Genomic DNA, 20,938 nt, shown 5'->3' with positions numbered 1-20,938 from the left:
CAATCCCAGCTGCCTTGACATTTCTCCATGCTATCAAAAAGCTGGGTGAAGTATAGCTTTTATGGTTGTTCCTGACAAGAGGGCCATCTGATACCAGTCACTCCATCGTAGTCAGAAGCAGAAGCCCTTTGTAAGCTTTCCACAATTCTATAAAAAAGAAGTTCCATGATAAGAAATCTGTATGACAAACTTTTATTCTGCATACTGTTTATGTTTAAAATCCTACTTTATGAAACAAGTAAACTGCAGTCACCTGCAGTTGAGAGAAGACATGACCCATATTGGGTTAAACAAACAAAATGTATTGGTTCATATAACTGAAAAAAATTCAGGAGAAAAATCAACATATACAAGATTCCAAACAAATTTTACCAGGATCCAATTTATCTCCATCTGTTCCACTTCCTGCTTGTTGAAGCCAATCTCAAATCAGCTCATGACCATAAGATGGTTGTCAGCAACTCCCAGAACTATACTGTCTCAGGTCCACATCCATGAGAAAAAGACTGTCTGTTTCAGGATACCTGGGAAAAGTCCTATTGGCTCTAGTTGGGTCACTGCCCATTCCTGAGGCAATCACTTTGCCAAGGTAAATTTGATGGATTCATTAGCTTAGGCCCAGGTCAGGTTCCTGTTCCTGAGCCAGCGGTAGATTCAGCTCCTCTAGAAGTCCATGGACTGACAGCGTTAGTGGAAGTTCCCAAGCAGGAAGCTGGGGCGTGATTAAATGGATGCCGGACAACCAAAAAAGCAAAAGCCCGCTTCACAGCCACATCCAGTGTCTAAATCCACATCACCTAAAAGTACCTGGAAGATCATAGGCTTCCTCGTCAGGTCCTCCAAGGCCACTTCCATGATCCTGCTTCTAGGACTGGGACCCCACCCCCTTCACACGGCCATGGGCTCCACACTCGTGGTCTGTGGGACATGCACAGCTCTTCCGGGCCCAGCATGTGCCCATCCATGTGTTCTCTTCCTTCTGTTACCTGAAGTCTTGGCAAGGGTTGGGCATGAGGAACAGGGGGACGAGCTGGGTTTTATTCCTTCATTGTTGCCACTTTCCTTTGCTCTCACTATCTCCTCAACAGGACAAGAACAGGATGATCAGGCTTAGCTTCCTAATGCTACCATTTACTGCTATGATTCTGAAAAAGTCACTTTGCCACTCTGAGTCTCATTTCCTCAGCTGCAAATGGGGCTGACCATGTCTATGCATACTTTACCTCTTTCCAGGCAATCTCTCTAAGAATAAGAGTTCTATAATACAATGGAGGGACGATAAGAGGTAACAAGCCTGCAGACGATATCTTTTTGAATGGCTGTTGAGGCTGCTGGTGATGCTTCTGCTATGGAAATCTCAAATGTGGAGGTTTTTTTCCCCCCCAAGCATTTCAATAACTGTTAAGGTTAAATGAAATAGTCTGAAAATGTTTGATAGACTGAAGCTCTAAAGAGATGCTGAATTGTATTATGGGTCCCAGACAGATCATTGTAAACCTCTTGTTCCACCCCAAGTGTTGTTTGTGTGTAACACGTGTCAAGGGTTTCCACTCTAGGGAACAAAAGCACAAAAGTTTCACTGAAGTCCTTTGGCCTAATCCTCTTAAGAGCTGTTGAAGCCTCCCTGAATTGATCAGAGGCAGTCAAGTGCCTTCTTAAGACAGGAGGCTCTTTCAAGTTTTCTTACTGCTCCTAGTTCTGACAAACCCACTCAAGTTTCCTTGCTACCCCTTCACCACCACCCATGCAACACTTGGAGCCAGAGATTTTGCTCAAGGTCACAGTGGGCAGGAAGTGGCTGGGCAGGGATCTTTCTAGAATCCACTCTCCTTCCACAAGGCCAAAAGGAGCTAAGACTGCACAATCACAATGGGTGCAGGCTGCAGAGGCCTCTGAAAAACGCAGGTTTTGACTGTACCTTACAGGAAGTACAGGACAGTGTCTGAGCAAGAGTTGTGTGTATGAGAAGGAGTGGCACGTCTGGAAGCATAATCAGGAAAATCAGCTGCACCTCCTAGCACAGGTGCATAACCCAGGACTGAAGTAATAAGACCAAATGCCCTAATGATCTTTGCAATTCAGAGCTTAGCACAGTGCCTCATTTAGTGGCTATTCAGTTGAGTTGATAGTTGGGGTGGAAAGGAACAGATAGATTTAAGAGAAGTCTGGACAGCAGGCACGTAAGATGTAGGGCTGGTTGAAGGATGAGGATAAAAAAGAGTAAACTATGGCTTTAGACACAGATACATCGGCAGACGTTAGGGGTGGGGAGGGAGTCCAGATGAAACCCAACTGTGGGTTATGAGGAACAACCACGTGGCTGTGTTGTCACAGGTCTTTTCCTCCCCAAATGCAAATACGCCCATTAGTAAGGTACCCTTGGCCAGAAGCCAATCTGGTTTCACCCCTGAAACTTTGAGCATCATTTCCACAGTGCTGTCAGCCTAAGAGGTGAGCTTCATTTTGCCAATAGCTTCTATTGAGATAGAGTTTGTTACTCAGGCATCTAAATAGCTCTACTTTAAAGATAAATTTATTTTCTGCAGATTAGTTCAGCTGATGTATTAGGTAGCCAAAAAACCTCTAAAGAGAATAAGAAAAACCTCAACCCTTAATTCTACAGCTCCCCTTTAAAAAGAAAAAAAAAAAGATACAAAATAAATCCAAGCTCACCGATCTTCCAGCTCACTTGATTTACTTGGAACAGACTCACACTCAAGGGTGACCCCTTTCAGGAGCAGCCTCTGGATTTCTTCCCCACCCTGGAAGTCACTGGTACTTCAGTGTTCTCAATTGTGTAGTGGAAACAGAACACATTCAAAAGTCTCAGCAGGCTGGGCGCGGTGGCTCACGCCTGTAATTCCAACACTTTGGGAGGCTTAGGTGGGAGGACTGCTTGAGCCCAGGAGTCCCAGACCAGCCTGGACAACATGGCGAAACTCCATCTCTACAAAAAAATTAAAAAATTAGCTTGGCGTGGTGGCACATGCCTATAGTCCCAGCTGCTTAGGAACACTCCAGCCTGGGCAACAGAGTGAGACCTTGTCTAAAACAAACGAACAAACACTTCTTAGCAAACTGTGTGACTGTGTGCAGGCATATGCAGAGGGATGGGCAGAGCTTAGAGACTGGCTGTAGATAGTAAGGAGTGACTATAGACAGAGACTTCTCGCCCTACCTGGGAATGGTGGAAAGTCTGAGTTGAGGGGAATGCTCAGGGCCTTCCTCCTCAGCGCCTAACAGTACAACCTCACATTTACAGAGCGTTTCCAGTTTTCATCTCACTCATTGTCCCATTTCCTAGATTGCTGCTGTCAGTCAAGAGCCCTTCCTTAGCTCCAATCCCACATGGTGCTGGAACCTCCGCGCCAGTCCCCACAAGGAGGTCAGGCTGCCACTGCCTGCACATCTGACAAGAAGCTCACCACCTGGCAAGGCCTCCTGCTTCCATTTTTACAGGTAAACTCTGCCTCCCTTTAGTTTCATTTGCTGGATTAGCTTTGGCCCTGCAGATACCCACATGGATTATGCACTTCCTCATCCTCCTTGCCATTTATTTCTGTGCAAACCACCATCATGTCAGCCCACTAAGTGTTCTCCTTACAGGCCTTAAAACCCCTGACATAGACCATGATTTCCCAACCATTTACGCTAGTTCCAGTTTGTCAATAACCTTATTAAGCACATGCTTACAGAACCCAATGCTCTCCTGGCCGTGCATGCAAGCCCAATGTGGTTCCTTGTCCTAGATTCTACACTTGTGTTGGGAGTGCCCATGGTTGTGCTAACTTCTTTGTCAATCCCCATTCATATTGAGATTTGAGTCAATTAAAACTCTTAAATCTTCTCGAGCCCAAACCTGTGTATTCCCTTTCAACAAATCCTTTCAACAAGTAAACAAGATGTGCATCAAGAACAAATGCTGTCACTGGTGCAATTTTTGTTAAACCTAAATACAATTCTGTGCATTTACCTTAGACGTTTCATCTAAATGTTCCTACAAGTCTCAAGGTCTTCAAGAAAACTTATCTGTCATTTGTCATTATTAGCTACACTCTAGCTTCATGGCATTCACAAACTTGATGGGCGAGCTTTTTATTTCTTTATTCCAGCCACTGGTACATTGCAATAAAACTTGGCTGTGTATACCAGGGGGATGAACAGATGTGATCAAATCTGTTTTTACAGATTATAGACCTTGTTTGCTCAAAGTCACACAATGGACCTATGTACTGTGGAGCTGGCACTAGAACTCTGATCTCTTAAAAACCAGAGTAGAGATTTTCCCACAGTGCCACAGGCTGCTGCCTGGGATGTTTGCCTCCCCAGGCCTGGCCACACTTGAGTGGATACTCATCATCCACTCGGCAGGTAGGGGCTTCACACCATTTTCAAGGTGAGCAACTGTATTTATTACCATGTGTTGGCTGACAGAGGGCTATAGCTAGTAACAAAATTATTCTTCACTCACATTCACCTCGACACTTCAAGCATCTCTGTCCAAACCCAGCTAGATCCTTCCCCTCTACACCTGCCCAGCTCACCATGATGGGCTGGACACGGTCAAACCTGGGCATGAAGAGACGTGGGTCACAATGCTGGTTCCACTGTGTTAATTCTTTGACCTTGTTTGACAAAAGCCATTTAATTTCCCTGAGCCTCAGTTTTCTCACCTAAAATAGGGGACCACACCACCCTACCTTACAGGATTGATTTGAGCATCAAAGGAGACAATGAATACAAGGGTTTGTTGTTGTTGTTGTTGTTGTTGGCAAACTCCCCAGTACTTTGCAAAGGTAGGTATACTATTATTATCAGATGGGTATGGAGAACTCTAAAATGAGTCAGTACCACTTAAAATTCCTTTTTAAAGCAGTTCATTGCATCCTAACCTATTTATTCATTTCTCTTTTTTTTTCTTAAAGTCCCAACAAAAACTTAATATGAAGACTGTATGCAGGGATAGCACTGAATACAAATTAACCATTCAACGTTCTTTAGTCCCTCTGGCAGGGAAATGATCCACCTATTAAAACACCCAGTCAGAGCTGGCACACACAGTGCTGATAACCCCAGCAGGCAATGACCTTGGCACCATTACAAGGGCAATATTTTCAAATGGATGAACTATTCCTGAACAAAGTGTCCAGTGTACTAGGAATAAACAGGCTTTTCATCAACCAAGGCTGTGTGTTTTCTGGTTCCAACAACCTTTCCCAGAGACAGTGCTGGAAAGGAGGGGGCACCAGGAAGCAGCACCTCCTCAGCAGCCTGCCCAGCGCACTCATCCCTCCTCCAGAATCCTATGACTGGGCAGGCCTCCACACCTCCATCCTCTCCTCTGATGGTTTCATGATTGCTTTTCTGCACTTTTGCAAAAGGAGAACCCGGTGCTGCCCTTGGTGACCCTGGTCAGACCTCAGCAGGTGGAGGATCAGCCCTCCCCATGGTGTAAAACGGAGTTCTGGAGCCTCATGAACAAGAACCTGTGGTAGAGAGTCACGTACGATGTCACCAGGTATCTGCGAGGCCAATTCTTTGAGAAGATGGGTGAATCGCCCAGGACAGTCCAAAAGAGGTCACACAAGAGGCAAACAAGATCCTTGAGACAAAATTCACAAGGAGAGGAAGGACGGACTCTGGATCCACTAGAATGAAGCACACGTGCAAAATGCAACGGGAAAAACTTGCTTCTTCACCTAAGCCAAGGAGGCTGTAGCTGGCCCTTTCAGCTGTTTGTTCTTTCATTCATTCTACAAATGTTTATTGAGCACCTACTGTGTACCCAACACTGTTCTGTGTTCTGGAGACACAGAATAAACAAGACAAAGTCCCTGCCTACCTTACATTCTGGTGCCAGTAGACAAACAATAAAGTAACTGTCTAGGTAGTGATAAGTGCTAAGAGGCACAGGGAGTGTAGAGCACGAGCTGACATCAGGGAAGGCCCCTCTGTTAAGGTAAATTTGACCAAAGCTTTGAAGGCAGTGAGGGAGCAAGTGATGATTTTCTGGGCCAGCATATTCCAGGCAAGAGCGGGATTCAAACAGCAAAGAAGAGGGTGTTACAGGAATGGATTGAGCCAAGGAGAGTCCAGAGAGATGAAGGCAGAGGGGCAACAGGGAGCCTGTGAGCCACCTTCAGCACTTTTAATTCCAAGTGATCTGAGAAAATACTGGCGGAGGGGGAGGGTTGAAACAGAAAAGTGAGACAATTTGATTTTTGTGTATGAAGCTCATGCAGGGTGCTCAATTAAGACTATAAAGAAGGCAGAAAAGAATGTGAACAGCGAGACCGTGAGGAGGAGAGCAGAACAACCCAAGGAGGAGACGGTGGCGGTGGCTCAGACCACGACAGCAGCGTAAGAATGAGCTGAGAGTCTGGATGTTGTTAGGGTAAGACCTGCAGAATCTAATAACAGGATATGAGAAATGAGCGAGACTCAAGGATTAGTCCACAGTTTCTTTTGCTGAAGCAATTGGAAGGAGAGAGTTAACATTTACTGGGAAGAGGAAGGTTATGGGTGAAGTAGGGTGAAAGGCATCAGGATATGGTTTTGGGTATGGTTTGGGATACGTTAAGTTTGAGGTAGCTATTAGACACCAAGGGGAGATGTCTAGTAGCCTGTGGATCAAGCAAGTCTTAGGTTCAGGCTAGAGATGTAAGCTTGGAAATCATCACTGTAGAGAAGATATTCAAAGCCAAGAATGAGATTGATATTAACAAAGGAGTGAGTACTGAGAGAGAAGAGATCCAAGGACTAAGTCCTGGGGCAATCTTACACAAAGAGGACTTAGCAAAGGATACTAAAGTGAGTTAAATAATTTTTTCTTAAAAAAACAACCTAGAGAATATATAAAGAAAATTTCTCAAAAAGTAACCATTGATCAACTTTGCCAAATGCTGCTATTTGGTCACAAGTGACAATAACTAAGAATTGACTATTGGATTTAGAAATTTGGAGGTCCCTCGTGACTTTATTAGGGCAATCTTATTTCTCCAATGAATAACCCCTGAATCAATAACTTAGTACAATAAAAAGCTTCTATCTCACTCATCTCACAGTCCAGTCAAGTATTTGGCAGGTGGCCTTCTTTGTGATTTGGGTACCAGGTTCTTTCCATCTTCAGTGCACACCTGCCATGGTTCCCTTGGAAAGGGAAGGAGTGGTCCATATAGAAGCACACCTGAGCTCTGGTGCTTCAGCCTGAAGCTGGCACGTTGACCCACTGGAGTTCCCATGACAAGAACTAGTCACACAGCCTCATTTAGAGGCAAAGTAACTGGGAAACATCATTTGGTTGTGTGCCCTGGAAGAGGAAGTGGTTTGGTGACCATCTAGCCAGTTTCTCTCACAATGACCTTGGCAAGAGCACTTTTAGAGGAGGGTGGAAACCAAAGACTGATTGAAGGGAGTTCAAGAGAAAAAAGGGAAGTAGAGAAATAGGGTGGTAGCTAAGGCAGGTTTGGGATCTAGAGAGGTGTTTTGTTTCTGGTTTGTTTGTATGATATTGGAAATGATCCTGTAGAGAAGAGACAACTGCTGGAGGGATGTCCTTGAGTAGGTGACAGAGAAAGGGACCTAGCTCAGTGTCATGCATAAGAATGCCTTGGAGAGCCCATTGAAACAAGTTCTGGGGCCCCAACTCAGACATTCTTTTTTTTTTTTTTTTTTTGACAGAGTCTTGCTCTGTTGCCCAGGCTGGAATGCAGTGGCACAATCTTGGCTCACTGCAACTTCTGCCTCACAGATTCAAGCGATTCTCATGCCTCAGCCTCTCAAGCAGATGGGATTACAGGTGCATACCACCACGCCTGGCTAATCTTTGCATTTGTAGTAGAGATGGGGTTTCACATGTTCATCTCTAACTCCTGGCCTCAAATGATTCACCTGCCTTGGCCTCCCAAAGTGCTGGGATTACAGGCATGAGCCACTGCACCTGGCCCCGCCCCAGACATTTTGATTCAGCAGGTCTGGACTGGGGGTGGACAAGCTGCATTTTCTGACCATCCCCCAGGTGATACTGATGCAGTCAAGATTCAGGCCCACACTGAGTATTGCTGACAGGCGCTTGGGAAATTCATTCCTTGTCCAAGGCGGGAAGGCAGAGCGGGTAGGCACAGATGGAGGTGGGAGTACAGGCGAGGGTGGGAAGATGGGAACTTGGCAGCCACTTATTTTACTATCTCAGTGAATTTGGAAGCAAGGTCATCAGGTGAGGGTGAGGATAGGGGAGGACATGTTGTGAATTTGAGCGGGGAGAAAATATGAAATCACTGTCTTGGAGAGTATGAGAATAAGTGGTGCAGGGAAATGAAATAGAAGGGCCAGCCAAACACCAGGACCCACCTGCAGCTAGTGAGGCTGAACTTAGAGTGAGACCAGTCAGCTGGGCAGGTACACACAGTGGGCAGACAGTAGGATTCAGCCAGGACTGTGGTCTTACCAGGCAGGTACAACAAAGGAGAGGGGGTCAAGGGAGTTGACTGTGTATTGATGGGAGGGATGAAGGCCCCAGATCGCAGCATCTAAGTGGGTACAGAGGGCAGGGAGGACTTGCAGGTAGCAGCGAGGAACAGTGAAAAGATGGCAGATCAGTCAGTTGTGGGTCCCAGTAAAGCTGAAGAATCACTGGAGAGGGAAGACTGAGTGGGATGGGAACTGTGTTAGGAGAGTGGGATGTTTGAAGTCAAGATAGTACAGATAGCACAACTGGGAGTAATGACACAGTCAAGGGAACGGCCATAGGGGTGAGTGGCCGCAATGCCATAAAGGACAAGATTGGTGGAGAAGAGCAAGGAGAGGAACCAGGAGGCTGAGTATTGGAAGGATTGTGTCTGTGGATAATGAAATTGCCAAGGATCATTATCAAGAGTATTATTGGAAAGAACGCTGAGAGCTGTTGTTTCCAAACCCTCCTTCCAGAACCTAGTGCTCTAAGGAGGGGAAGAATTTCTGAAATATCAGCTCTCAGCCCACAAGCAAAAATATCCCCAGAGTCTCCTTCAAGTGCTAATTGCAAAATAAACAGAAAGCCAGCAGGGGCTGCCTAGGGAGAAGTGGAAACAGCAGAGGAGCATCCCCTAGTTGGCCAGTGTTTGCCTCCAAAGAGCCCAGCTTCCCCAGCTGCTCTCCCTGCTTAATGTGAAGAATTAAGAGTGGTGGCAAGTGGCTGGGGGCCCTAAGGTGACTCATCACAGCCAGCCAGGCCTCAGTACATTTCTGCATGCATTTTATGTGGAATCCTAGGCTGCTGGTTGATGACATCTTAGATTTCATATTTAACTGCCGTGCGTGTTCTAGTGCAGAAAAGACTAAGTATAGACTTGGAATTGGGAAATCTAAAAGGAATAGCAAAGCAGCCTCAGTGGCCAGTGCTGGAGGGGGTGTGAAGAGCTAAGGACGTGGACGCATGGCCAAGAGGAGATTATCTCTGTCCACTCCTGCCGAGGACCTTGCCCCGGGATGGGGGTGCCAGGAGAGAAAATAGCAGCCCCAGTGCACTATTGAAGATAAACAGCTTCCCTCCCTTCACTTACCAGAGTGGGACTGCGGTTCCCCTGGTCTTCTCTGTGTGGGAGCAGCAGTGGATTCTGCCCAGAGCTGTGGAGCCAGTTCCTCTTTGCCAGATCAGACCCAGCCTTGAGACAGAGAGAGGGCCAGGCTCCCTTTTAGCCTCTCCCTTTACCCTCCAGGCCCAAGAAGCCCAACAGAAAAACTGGCCCCTTCCCCTAAGTCAGTCATGGCTGCCGATCAGTGTCTGAGAGGTAGGGCAGTGCAATGCTTGGATCACACGTGAATCCCATCAGCAGCATATGTAATGAGAGTTAGAGGTGGGAAGCACGGGCAGGAGCGACTTACATCCAAAGTCACCTGTGGTTATCTCTGGGTGATAGGATTATGACGACTTTTCCATTTTCTTATCTGTATTTTCTAAATTTTCTATAATTAGTATGCGTTACTAACACATGTACAAAAACGACTAATAAGCTTGTTTTGTTTTTTGTTTTTGTTTTTGAGACAGAGTCTTTTTCTGTCGCCCAGGCTGGAGTGCAGTGGCGTGATCTTGGCTCACTGCAACCTCCACCTCCTAAGTTTAAGTAATTCTCCTGCCTCAGCCTCCTGAGTAGCTGAGACTACAGGCACCTGCCACCACACCCGGCTAATTTTCGTATTTTTAGTAGAGATGGGGTTTTACCATGTTGGCCAGGCTGGTCTCAAACTCCTGACCTCAGGTGATCCACCTGCCTTGGCTTCCCAAAATGCTGGGATTGCAGATGTGAGCCACTGTGCCCAGACTGTTTTGTTGTTTAGAAAACACTTAGCTGGATGGGTTACCCTTGAAAAGGGGCACACCAGCCTTAAAAGATCATTCAGCCAAACACCCAAAGACTCACCTAGCACACAGCTGGAACCGAAATTCAGCATATGGTGCATAACACAGGCACCAAGGATTCGGGGTTAGCATTACCTGGCAGTCACATCCTCTTCACTTCACAATTACAGATAGCTGGATCCCCCAACCCTGTGAAGACAGAACAAAGAAGCATGGGAGACGGTGGGCTTCTCAGGGAAGAGAACCCTTAGCATCCCCTCCAGTCTGTAATTCTCTCTCTCACCTCAGCGGTGTTGACTGCAGCATCTTGTGTGGTTTATGTGCCTTGCGAGCCAAGGCCAGTGTTACCTTGTTGCTGGCCAGTGTAACAAGGGGGACCTTGGGCCACCAGCCTGAACTAGACTTCATTTTCCCCACCTGGTCTGGGTTGTCATATTTGGGTGCAGTACTGCAGATGCTGCATTAGCTTTGACATGAGGTTTGAAATCAGGTTCAAAGACCTGCAGTCTAATATAAACACAAAATGACCTCAGATAAGGGCAGGCCGTAGATAAAACTGTTAAAGAGGTCAGGTGTAGTGCCTCATGCCTTAATCCCAGCACTTTGGGAGGCAAAGGCTGGTGGATTGCTTGAGGTCAGGAGTTTAAGACCAGACTGCCCAACATGGTGAAACCCCATTTCTACTTTAATACAAAAAAATTAGCCAGGCGTGGTGGCGCACGCCTATAGTCCCAGCTACTTGGGAGGCTAAGGCAGGAGAATCGCTTGAACCTAGGAGGTGGAGGTTGCAGTGATCAGAAATCGCGCCACTGCACTCCAGCCTGGGTGACAGAGCAAGACTCTGTCTCAAAAGAAAAAAAAAGAAGCAAACCTGTTAAAGAAATAAGACGTATCTTTGGACATTTCCCTAAAAAGGAAAGAGTGACTTCTTAGCAGGGCACCTCACTTTCTAGGGCTGCATGCAAGTGCCCACTGCAGTACTTTCCCATCCTGGGTCCCTGTCCTTAGGGGTCTCTTCCTGGATGAGTGCCCTAATCTGAGAGACACATTCCCATGTGGCAGTAGCCATGTGTGTTCACACCTAGCCGTATAATGAAACTATATCTTAACCCAAGGCCTCTTTCTAGAAAGACATGGCCTTACCCCAATAAACAAAATGCTAAGGACAGAAAATTTAGGTTGACCTGTAGGATGATAATAGGGAATTTTTAGGATAGAGTGAAGGGTTAGGAGTCCCCCTAAAATAATGACCCTTTACTTAAATATGTCTCTGTCAACAGGAACATTGACTCACTGGAAGATTAAACTACCTTAAATCTTTATGGAGCAACAAGAGATTTTTTAAATGAAAAAAAAAAAGGAGGAAAGAGAATAAAAAAGGAAAAAAGAAAGAACTAGTAGGACAGGGGACTGATTTTTATTATTTTTATTTTTTATTTATATGGACATAGAGTGTGAAATGAAAGGGGACTGTTTTAAAAACACACATCCACATTCTTTCATTCGCTTTTCTCCTTCATCCTATGCATGGGGCAGTATGATATGGTATTTAGCCTTCCTTGAAGATGAGCTTCAAGTCTTATATTTTAAATAGTATTTTCTAGACAGCTGTTGTTAAAGTGTGGACCAGGGAACCCTGGGGGTGCTTGAATTAATCTTATTTGTTTTTTCATTTTTTTAAAAAGCCTTTTAAAAAATATAGAGATGGCGGGGGGCGGGGGGGGGTCTTCCTATGTTGGCCAGGCTGGTCTTGAACTCCTGGGCTCAAGGGATCCTTCTGCCTCAGCCTCCCAAAGTGTTGGGATTACAAGTGTGCGCCACTATGCCTGGCTCTCGAATCCATCTTAGGACATTCTTGAGGTCAAAACTCTTTTTGTAATAATACACAATTTGCCTTTTTTACTCAATTGAGTTTTCCACAGGGCACATGATATGTCATGACATCATTGCATCAAAAAGGCTTCTATGGTCCCAGAAGTTGGGGAAATGTTTTAGACTCTTTAGAGAATTTATAATGTCTATTAGCATATTAAAGGCTCTGAGAAGTTCCGTAATATAAAACCTGTTTAACTTGGTTTAATGTAACTGCAAATTTATTTGGTCATAGCATTTATTTTTGTTTTGGTTAGTTTGTTCAACACCTGTTGCTATCATATTTTGGGAAATGCTCCTCCAGGGGTAAGATATTAAGCCAATATTCCTCTGACCAAGGAGTTTTATTAGAGATCTCTCATCTGGACCTGATGTAAACAAGTCAAAGAATGGGCTACGTTAGTGTATTGGTATATTGGAGTGGTCAAGAATAGAGCCGGACTGCCTGGGATCAAATCCCAACTCTGCCACTTACTATCTGAGACTTTGGGCAAGTTATTCAACCTTTCTTTGCCTTACGTTCTTCGTGCATAACATGGGAAGATTTTAGGTATACATTAGAATGGTGTCCTGCACATAGTAAATGCTATTTTAGAATCAGCTCCGCCAGGCACGTGGCTCACACCTGTAATCCCAGCACTTTGGGAGGCTGAGGCGGGCGGGTCATGAGGTCAGGAGATAGAGACCATCCTGGCTAATACGGTGAAACCCTGTCTCTACTAAAAATATAAAAAATTAGCCAGGCGTGGTGGCGGGTGCCTGTAGTCCCAGCTACTCTAGAGGCTGAGGCAGGAGAATGGCGTGAACCCGGGAGGTGGAGCCTGCAGTGAGCTGAGAACACGCCACTGCACTCCAGCCTGGGTGACAGAGAAAGACTCTGTCTGGAAAAAAAAAAAATCAGCTTTAATCTATTACTAATCTATTATTGTGACAGGCATGCTGGTTTAGGATCAGGACTAAAAGCTGGGCCACTAGCTAGCGATATGACCTGAGCCAGGTCTCCAAACTGCCATCGACGTCAGTTTGCCCATACTTTGAACTAGAAGGTAAGACAGGCCAGGGCGTGGTGGCTCACACCTGTAATTCCAGCACTTTGGAAGGCTGAGGCAGGCAGATTACTTGAGGTCAGGACTTTGAGAGTAGCCTGGCCAACAGAGTGAAACCCTGTCTCTACTAAAAATACAAAAATTAGCTGGGCGTGATGGCGGGCACCTGTAGTCCCAGTTACTCAGGAGACTGAGGCAGGAGAATCATTTAAACTTGGGAGGTGTAGGTTGCAGTGAGCCGAGATCACGCCACTGCTCTCCAGCCTCTGTCTCAAAAAAAAAGTGAGATGAGACAAGCTTGAAGCCCCTTAGTGCCGATATTCCCTGACTGCACAGGCTCCCTACAGAAGGCAGCACTAAACTGCAGCATGACAGGAGAAAAAAACACAGGGAGGGATCAGGCGGCCTAGGAGCACTCAGGTCCTGAACAGCATCAGCAAGAGATGAAGGGGCTCACAAAATGGGATGCTTAGCCCTTGAGAATGGAGTTTATTGACTCCAGAGTTCAGCCTCCCACCAACCAGCTTCTCAAACTGCCCAGATGTGAAGGAGAAAAAAGGCGGGGTTAGCTTTCCCCACCAACACCATACCACCCCCTCCATGGCACAAGTTAAACTGGCTGCTTGCAATGAGGGCCTGGCTACAGAGAGGAACTGGCTTTTCAAGAGGGCCACCTTTTGAGGACACTCCCACCTCCACCTCAGCCCCAGAGAAACCTTTTGGACACCTAACCTTGGTAAGACACAAGAGTGGCTGCCTCTAGAAAAATTCCTCCAGTGTGACTTCATCACAGTTGGGGATGAAGGGAATGCATGCAGGGAAGAAAAACTGAACATATCTGTATAAGAGAGAGCTTTGAATTGCTGGCAGCTGTGGGCCAAGGTAGAGGAGCCCAGCATAATGCTTATGAGGCTAAATTGGGAACATTTGAATGCTTGGTTTTGTGCTTAAAAAAGCAAGTAGCAGCTCAGCTGCCAGATGTTGGATAACTTGGACATGTAGCTCGTGGGCTTTGGTATCAGCAACACTTTGGCAGGTGACCACATGTCAAAGACAGATGATGACTTGCTTTCCCAAAACTGCTTCTAGGGAGGGAGCCTGGTGGCTTTCGTGTTTCACTTTCACTGAAGAAGTTATATTTGGGAACACCAAAAAGAATCTCTTAACTCAGAGAAGATTGGCTCTAGGGCTTGTCAGCAAAGGAAGAACTCCTAAGAACTGGCTTCATAAGAGCTCAGCTCCCTGTTACTCAAGCCTGTGAATAATCACTGAACTACTCTCTCTCTAACACAGTATATCAGTTAGGAATTGCTTTCAGTTGCTAGCAACAGAGAACTGACTATAGTGGCATAAATGCATGAAGGTGTTATTTTTGTCATGTCATGAGAAATGCAGACATGAGTAATTACTGGCATTGGTTTGGTGGCTTGAGAAAATCAGGGACAGGTATTTGTAATTTTTTTATTTTTATATTTTGAGACAGAATCTCACTCTGTCGCCAGGCTGGAGTGCAGTGGCACGACCTCGGCTCACTACAACCTCCGCCTCCCGAGTTCAAGTGATTCTCCTGCCTTAGCCTCCCAGGTAGCTGGGACTACAGGGGCACGCCACCACACCCAGCTAATTTTTGTATTTTTAGTAGAGATGGGGTTTCACTATGTTGGCCAGGATGGTCTCGATCTCTTGAACTCATGATCCACCCGCCTCAGCCTCCCAAAGTGTTGGGATTACAGGCATAAGCCACTGCATCTGGCCTGTGATTCTTTTAATCTTTTCTTCATAGCCTCAATGTGTCTGTTGCAGCTCCAGCCATCACATCCACATTTCAAACAAAAGGAATTAGGAAGGATGAAATGGCAAACAAGGCTTTCCTAGAAGTCCCACCCAACAACTTCTGCTTTTATCTTCTGCAAGAGAACTCATCTTTTCACTGGATACGTGCTAACCAGGATAACACTGGGGCTCTCTAAGAGAGAAGGTGAGGATGGATATCGGGTAGGAAGCTAGCACTCTCTGCATGGGGCTTTCCAGAGAGATGTGTTTAGAAAAGAAGTTGCTGTCTGAACTGGTCCTTCTGGGAGAGCTTGTTATGTGAAAGAGCAGGTATCTGAGGAAGCCTCAGTTTACCCATGAAACTGACCTCTAGGTCTCTCTCACTCTGAGAGAGGTGAACTGGCTTCTGTTCTATGAGTGCCCCTAGTTCCCAAGTCAATTTGATTAGGAAAGGAGAGGATTGGGAAATGGAAATCTCTGTAAAGCAGTGGATTCATTCCTTGATCAAAGGCATGGTGGTTGGCAGCAAGCATAAAAATATGAATGTGTATGTTGACAGAGGAGGCACCCGGCTACTACTTGTCAATGTAGTGAGGCAGGGGATGGATAAAGAAGACATGCTTCTGAACCTTCAGAATCTTACAAATTAGAAGAGAGAAACACAAAACATGAAAACTAGAAAGTAGGCCAGGTGCTGTAATCCCAGCACTTTGGGAGGCCGAGGCGGGTGGATAATGAGGTCAGGAGTTCGAGACCAGCCTGGCTAACATGGTGAAACCCCGTCTCTACCATAAAAACAATACAAAAATTAGCTGGGCATGGTGGCAGGCACCTAAAATCCCAGCTGCTCGGGAGGCTGAGGCAGGAGAATCGCTTGAAACCAGAAGGTGGAGGTTGTGGTGAGCCAAGATCATGCCACTGCACTCCATCCTGGGCAACAAGAGCGAAACTCCGTCTCAAAAAAAAAAAAAAAGAAAGAAAACTAGAAAGTTATACAGGCTAAGTGGAAGTCAGCGCCTGGCACAGAGAAGGGGGCAGTCATTGCCACTAGGATGCTCCCAAAGGATTTCAAGAGGAAGGGGAAGATGTGAGGCTTGCTGGATGACCAGGGGGATTATTGAGGGGCCAGGGAGTGGTGGTATCACCTAGCCACACAGCGGGGCTCCCTCAACTGGCAATTGAAGCAGCCGTTGGCCTGAATTTCCAAGGACCACCATGGATTCCCAAACAAAATGTCATCCCAATGTTTCCAGCTCTCTATCCAGCCTTGTAAAACAAAGATGTGGAATTTAACAAGATCCAACAAAAACTGTGGAAGGGCACAATATATAAAAATACCATAGCCAAGAATCAAAACACTAACTTCTGTCACAGGAGGGGGAAAAGCTCTTGCAGATGCATGGGGGGATGGGGCTGAAGAAAAGGGGACATTTGTTCCAGGGCTTTCTTCAGATTTGGGAGCGAAAAAGGCTAGCAAGACAACAGCATTCTACAGAGAAGCCAAGTGGGGAGGTATAAGGGTGGCTGGTTTTTCCTTAAGTCTACACGTTTCCAACTGCTATTTCATGCTTCCAGCCGTTACCATATGTTCTCAGATTTTAAAGTCACAATAAACGTCAGGGTGAGCAGCTGTGGAATAATTCACACTTTTGTTCATTTTCCAGCACCCCCCATCAGATCCCATTGCTTAAATAATGCCCCACCCTCCCACCACCTGTACATCAAGGTCATGGTCCTCCTCTATTAACAGCAGTGAGAACAGCCAGTTTTACTCTTGCGGGAAGTTGGCAGAATTGCAAACTTGACTGCTGAGCTTCGGATGGGTCATGAAATTTTTAGTCTCTAAATCTTGCTTTTCCAGGGGTTAGATATTTAAAACATTTCTTCTTCCTAATGGTATCTTTCAATCACGCAAATTACCACAAGTACACAAGAGCAAAGACGATCGCATTCTGTGTCAGTGTTTTGTTTGCATTGTGAGAGGCTGATAATGTGGGAGGAAGTTTGTGTAGTGACTGTCTGGGTTCAGATCCTGGCTCTGTCACTTATTTGCTGTGTGAATTGACAAATGTAAACTGATTAGTATGGTGCCAGGAACAGATGCTATTATTATTCAGCAACTAGCCTGAATGTAATCATGTACTTGTTTACCTTTGTAGCTTCTTAAGGGCTAATCCTTAAGGGTTAAATGCTGCAGGGATCTGTTATGTGTTTGCCCAGTTAAGTTCTGGGCAAGGAAAAGGCCTGGGTGTTCTGCATGGCTCCCTTCCCTCTTCCACCTATACATCCCATAACCAGCATCTTCTACAGTGCAGGGGACAGGCCTACTGGCCCATGGTTAGTTGCTGGCCCACCTGTGAGAACGCAGGAAAGTCTGAAAGACGGCAGAATTGAGAGGCCTCAGTTTGGAGCTTTTCTTTTTACTTCTCTGCAGGGCTGGTAGGATTGCAACCTTACAGAACTGCAGTCTATCAGAGGCATCCAATTGTTTGTACATCTGCTCAAAAAGCAGCTTGCTCTTGGGGAAAGAGATGAACAGGCCTGGCCTGGCCCTTTGTGACACCAAAGAGGCTAGCACTGCTCTTGGGAGCCCTGCCCAGTGGTCTGGCCTTGGGAGCTGCCAGCTACACGGAGAGAGTTGGATCCTCTCCACGTAATGAAATTGACTCAAAAAGAACAAAGTTGCTCTCAACACCTGCTCACCCTCGCACAGCTCTGAAGGCCAAGAGGGGAATGGGTAATTGCAGACCACAGGCAATGACAGAAAAAGAAGGGGGAAAAATCAGCAGCCACTAGTTTAGCATATTCTCCTTCATTTCATGGGGGGAGATCAATGCAGACCTCACCATGCCTGTCTCCAGAGAGCTGGAAACAGTGGAATGGCTCAAAGGGCAGCAGGAGAGAAAGGACTGAGGGATCTGGAAAAGCAGCCCCAGAATGGTCTCCTTTTTATGTAAGCTAGCTTGGAATGGGTTTCTATGACTTGTACCCACTCTTATTTGCAATACATTTTGTGAGAAAGGCAACATGGACACCTTGGCACAAGAAGAACAGCAGTCCACTCACCATTTCAGAAGAGCTGCAAGGTGGCTTCAGGGTTCTTGGGGCACCAGAGGCAGCCTAGCCCCAGTCACCCACGGAGCCCTCCAGCCTACTTTTGCTCACTTTGTTTGGCTGCATTGCCCAGCAGTGGCCAACCTCCATGGAGTCCACATGATCAAACTCACAGAAGGCAGCAAAGATGGGGACACTAGGAAAGGAGGTCCTCAAAATTGAATCTTCCTCTTTCGCTGACTATTGTAATCACACCACTAGATGTTGCCAAATGTTTGTAGAAGGCACTTCTCCTGGTACCTGCCCAGCTCACACCCACAGGATGGACAAAGAATGGTCAAGTTTATTCTGTGTGACCCCTATCCATATTCATGACTCACTGGACAACACGTGTCCACACCCAGCCCAGTTGAACCAACTGAATTAGGACCTGGCGTAGACGTCTGGGCTCATGGCTTGAATGAAGGCTATGTAGTCACAGGAGCCATGGGGTATCCCTGCTTGGCCCTGCAAGCCAGAACAATGGAAGCCACTCTGGAGAGAGAGAGACAGAGATGAAAACAGATGGAAAAGCAGCGAGAAGCCACGGGAGTGAGCTGCCTGCATTCCCCGCTCTCCAGACCCGGGTTCTGGATCCAGCCTCACCTCCTGCCATAGTTTCCGAGAGGTATCCCAGTCTCCTTTCAACTCAGTGTCTTCCTTTTTGCTTACTTGATTGGGTTTCTATTACGTGCATCCAGAATAGTTTCCACTAAGGCAGTGATTCACAGTTTACTGAACGCTTTCACATGTTATCCTGTTTGGATTTTGCTTCGCACGCTACTCCAGGGAGAAGGCAAGGGAGGCATCATCATCATCTGCATTTTATGGTCAAAGACGTCCAGGCAATGACTGCTCAAGGTCTCCTAGGCAGGGAGGCAGGTCTTTGACCCAGACACAGCATCATCTCCACTGCACCACACCCTCTTGACATTGGAGGTGTACTTCCAGGAAAAGGGACTCTGGCGCCAAGGTATAATTGGAAGAGAGATGCTGCATTCCTAAGCACAAGCGCATATTTCAAGGGGAAAATAGGAGCTTCAGCTTGATAATTCATGCCACAGCTTTCATGAGACTGACTCTGTAAACAAAGTGTATTGAGAACGGGAAACCAGGCGTGGAATTTGTGGTGGAGAATACTCCCCCTTATAAAAATATGTGAAGCTTATAATATCATATTATTTTAGCATTTGTCATACTTCTTTCTCTCTTTCTCGAGGGCACCAGTGAACAATGGACAGGTAGGTTACATTTCTCTTCTCCACCTTTGCCTAGTCATCACTGACAGTTTCCACCCAAAGTAGATTAGCTAGGAAACTGACACTCTTGCCACACACACATGTGCATGTGAATGTACTCCAACACACGTGCACACACACATGCTTGCTTGTGGATACCACCTTCTAAAAACAGCTCTATTGAGATATAAATTCAGATACCATATAATTCCTTCATTTAAAATGCACACTGTGATTTTTGGCATATTACATCATTTAAAATGGTTACATAACATACAACTTGCCATTTTAACTATTTTTAGTGGTATTAATTACATTCACAATGTCGTGCATGACATTGCAATACAATCATTAAAACCATCTATTTCAAATGGATGCTATTTTTTTTGGTCCCTCTCTTTTTCCCTTTCTCTCTTCCTCCTTCCTTTCTCTTATGTTTATTTTTCAGTTTTTTAGGAGACAGGGAAAGTCCATCTCGCCTCCAGCCCTGGCCTTCCCCATGCATGCAAATCCCCACTGCTCTTCTTGACACTCCTCTACTTATCCAACCTAGGCTCAAACTGGAAGGCAAGACCTGATCATATGACCTGATCATATGTGAGTTTCTGTCTGCACCCAAGTCTCTAGGACACAGAGGGAACATCTTGCTTCTGGGACATTCCTCAGGTGCTGAGCTCCCCTGCCTGAAGGGAGCTGCTTGAGGACTGAGCTGTGCATCTTCATTCTGGACCCTGGTCTTTGCTACAGGGGCTCAGTGATGTCTGCAGAGTGGCCTTGGGGGCCCCTACATTGTCTGGCCCAGATGCAAGCGCCTGCTGATGTTCCACAAGGAATCTCTCCCCAGACCAATGTTAGGTTTGGATGTTTTCTTCTTTCTCGTCATCTCCTTTGCTTCCTGTTACTTTTTACCCTCCTAAAAAGTGTGAAGAAAGAACCTGCTGAAAATTCCATCTGATTGGGTCTAATAAGAGCTCAGCATTTGATGCTTTCCCCCATGGCTGGTGGGGGAAAGTTTGCTCCTGAACAGTGTTAAGTTCTGGACCCTTACTTCTGTGTTCTAGGAGGGCAACCCCCTTCCCCACCCACCCAGTAATCCACTCAGAGGGAAGAGAAGGAAGGATGAATGGCTTTTCAGAAGAGAAAGCACAGTTCTCAAGTGGAGCCTTGGGTCTCTCTGCATAGGACTGACTGACGAGCCTATCTGGAGAGCTCCTACTAAGCCCAGTCTCCTGTCTCCTCCACCACCAAAAGGCATCCTTTGGTGATGTCATTACTGTCATTCACCGTGAATATGGACAATCAACAGCCAAGGATCTTTTGTGTAATTAAATGTACTAGCTTGACAGCTCCCAAATGAGGGGGTAATAGTTACTGGATGTAAAGTGGCTTTTCTCTAATCCTGAGTGACGGCATGCTGTTGCTAGGTGCCTGTTTTTCTGCCTTTCAAATACAAAGTGACTAATGGGGTATATTTCATAACACATCTGCAAGTATGTAGTTCTTCTTATACTTCGATGCCCTTTAAAATATTATTATCTGCCAACATTTGGACTATGTGCTTATATGCAAATTAGACATAA

General features: G+C 46.0%; 1 long non-coding RNA gene across 1 annotated transcript; it reads right to left on the bottom strand.

The window, feature by feature from the left end:
* LINC00222 (long intergenic non-protein coding RNA 222) lies at positions 1-18,289 on the bottom strand. Its single transcript, NR_033376.1, has 5 exons — positions 18,094-18,289; positions 10,398-10,525; positions 9,540-9,641; positions 373-1,552; positions 1-147 (listed from the first exon to the last, which is right to left on the bottom strand). It is a non-coding gene; the product is annotated as a long intergenic non-protein coding RNA 222 (long non-coding RNA).
* Between the last annotated feature and the right edge of the window lie 2,649 nt (positions 18,290-20,938).

Source organism: Homo sapiens, chromosome 6 (genome assembly GCF_000001405.40).
Source record: "Homo sapiens chromosome 6, GRCh38.p14 Primary Assembly".
Lineage (NCBI taxonomy): Eukaryota > Metazoa > Chordata > Mammalia > Primates > Hominidae > Homo > Homo sapiens.
This window is presented reverse-complemented; position numbering and strand designations above follow the sequence as displayed.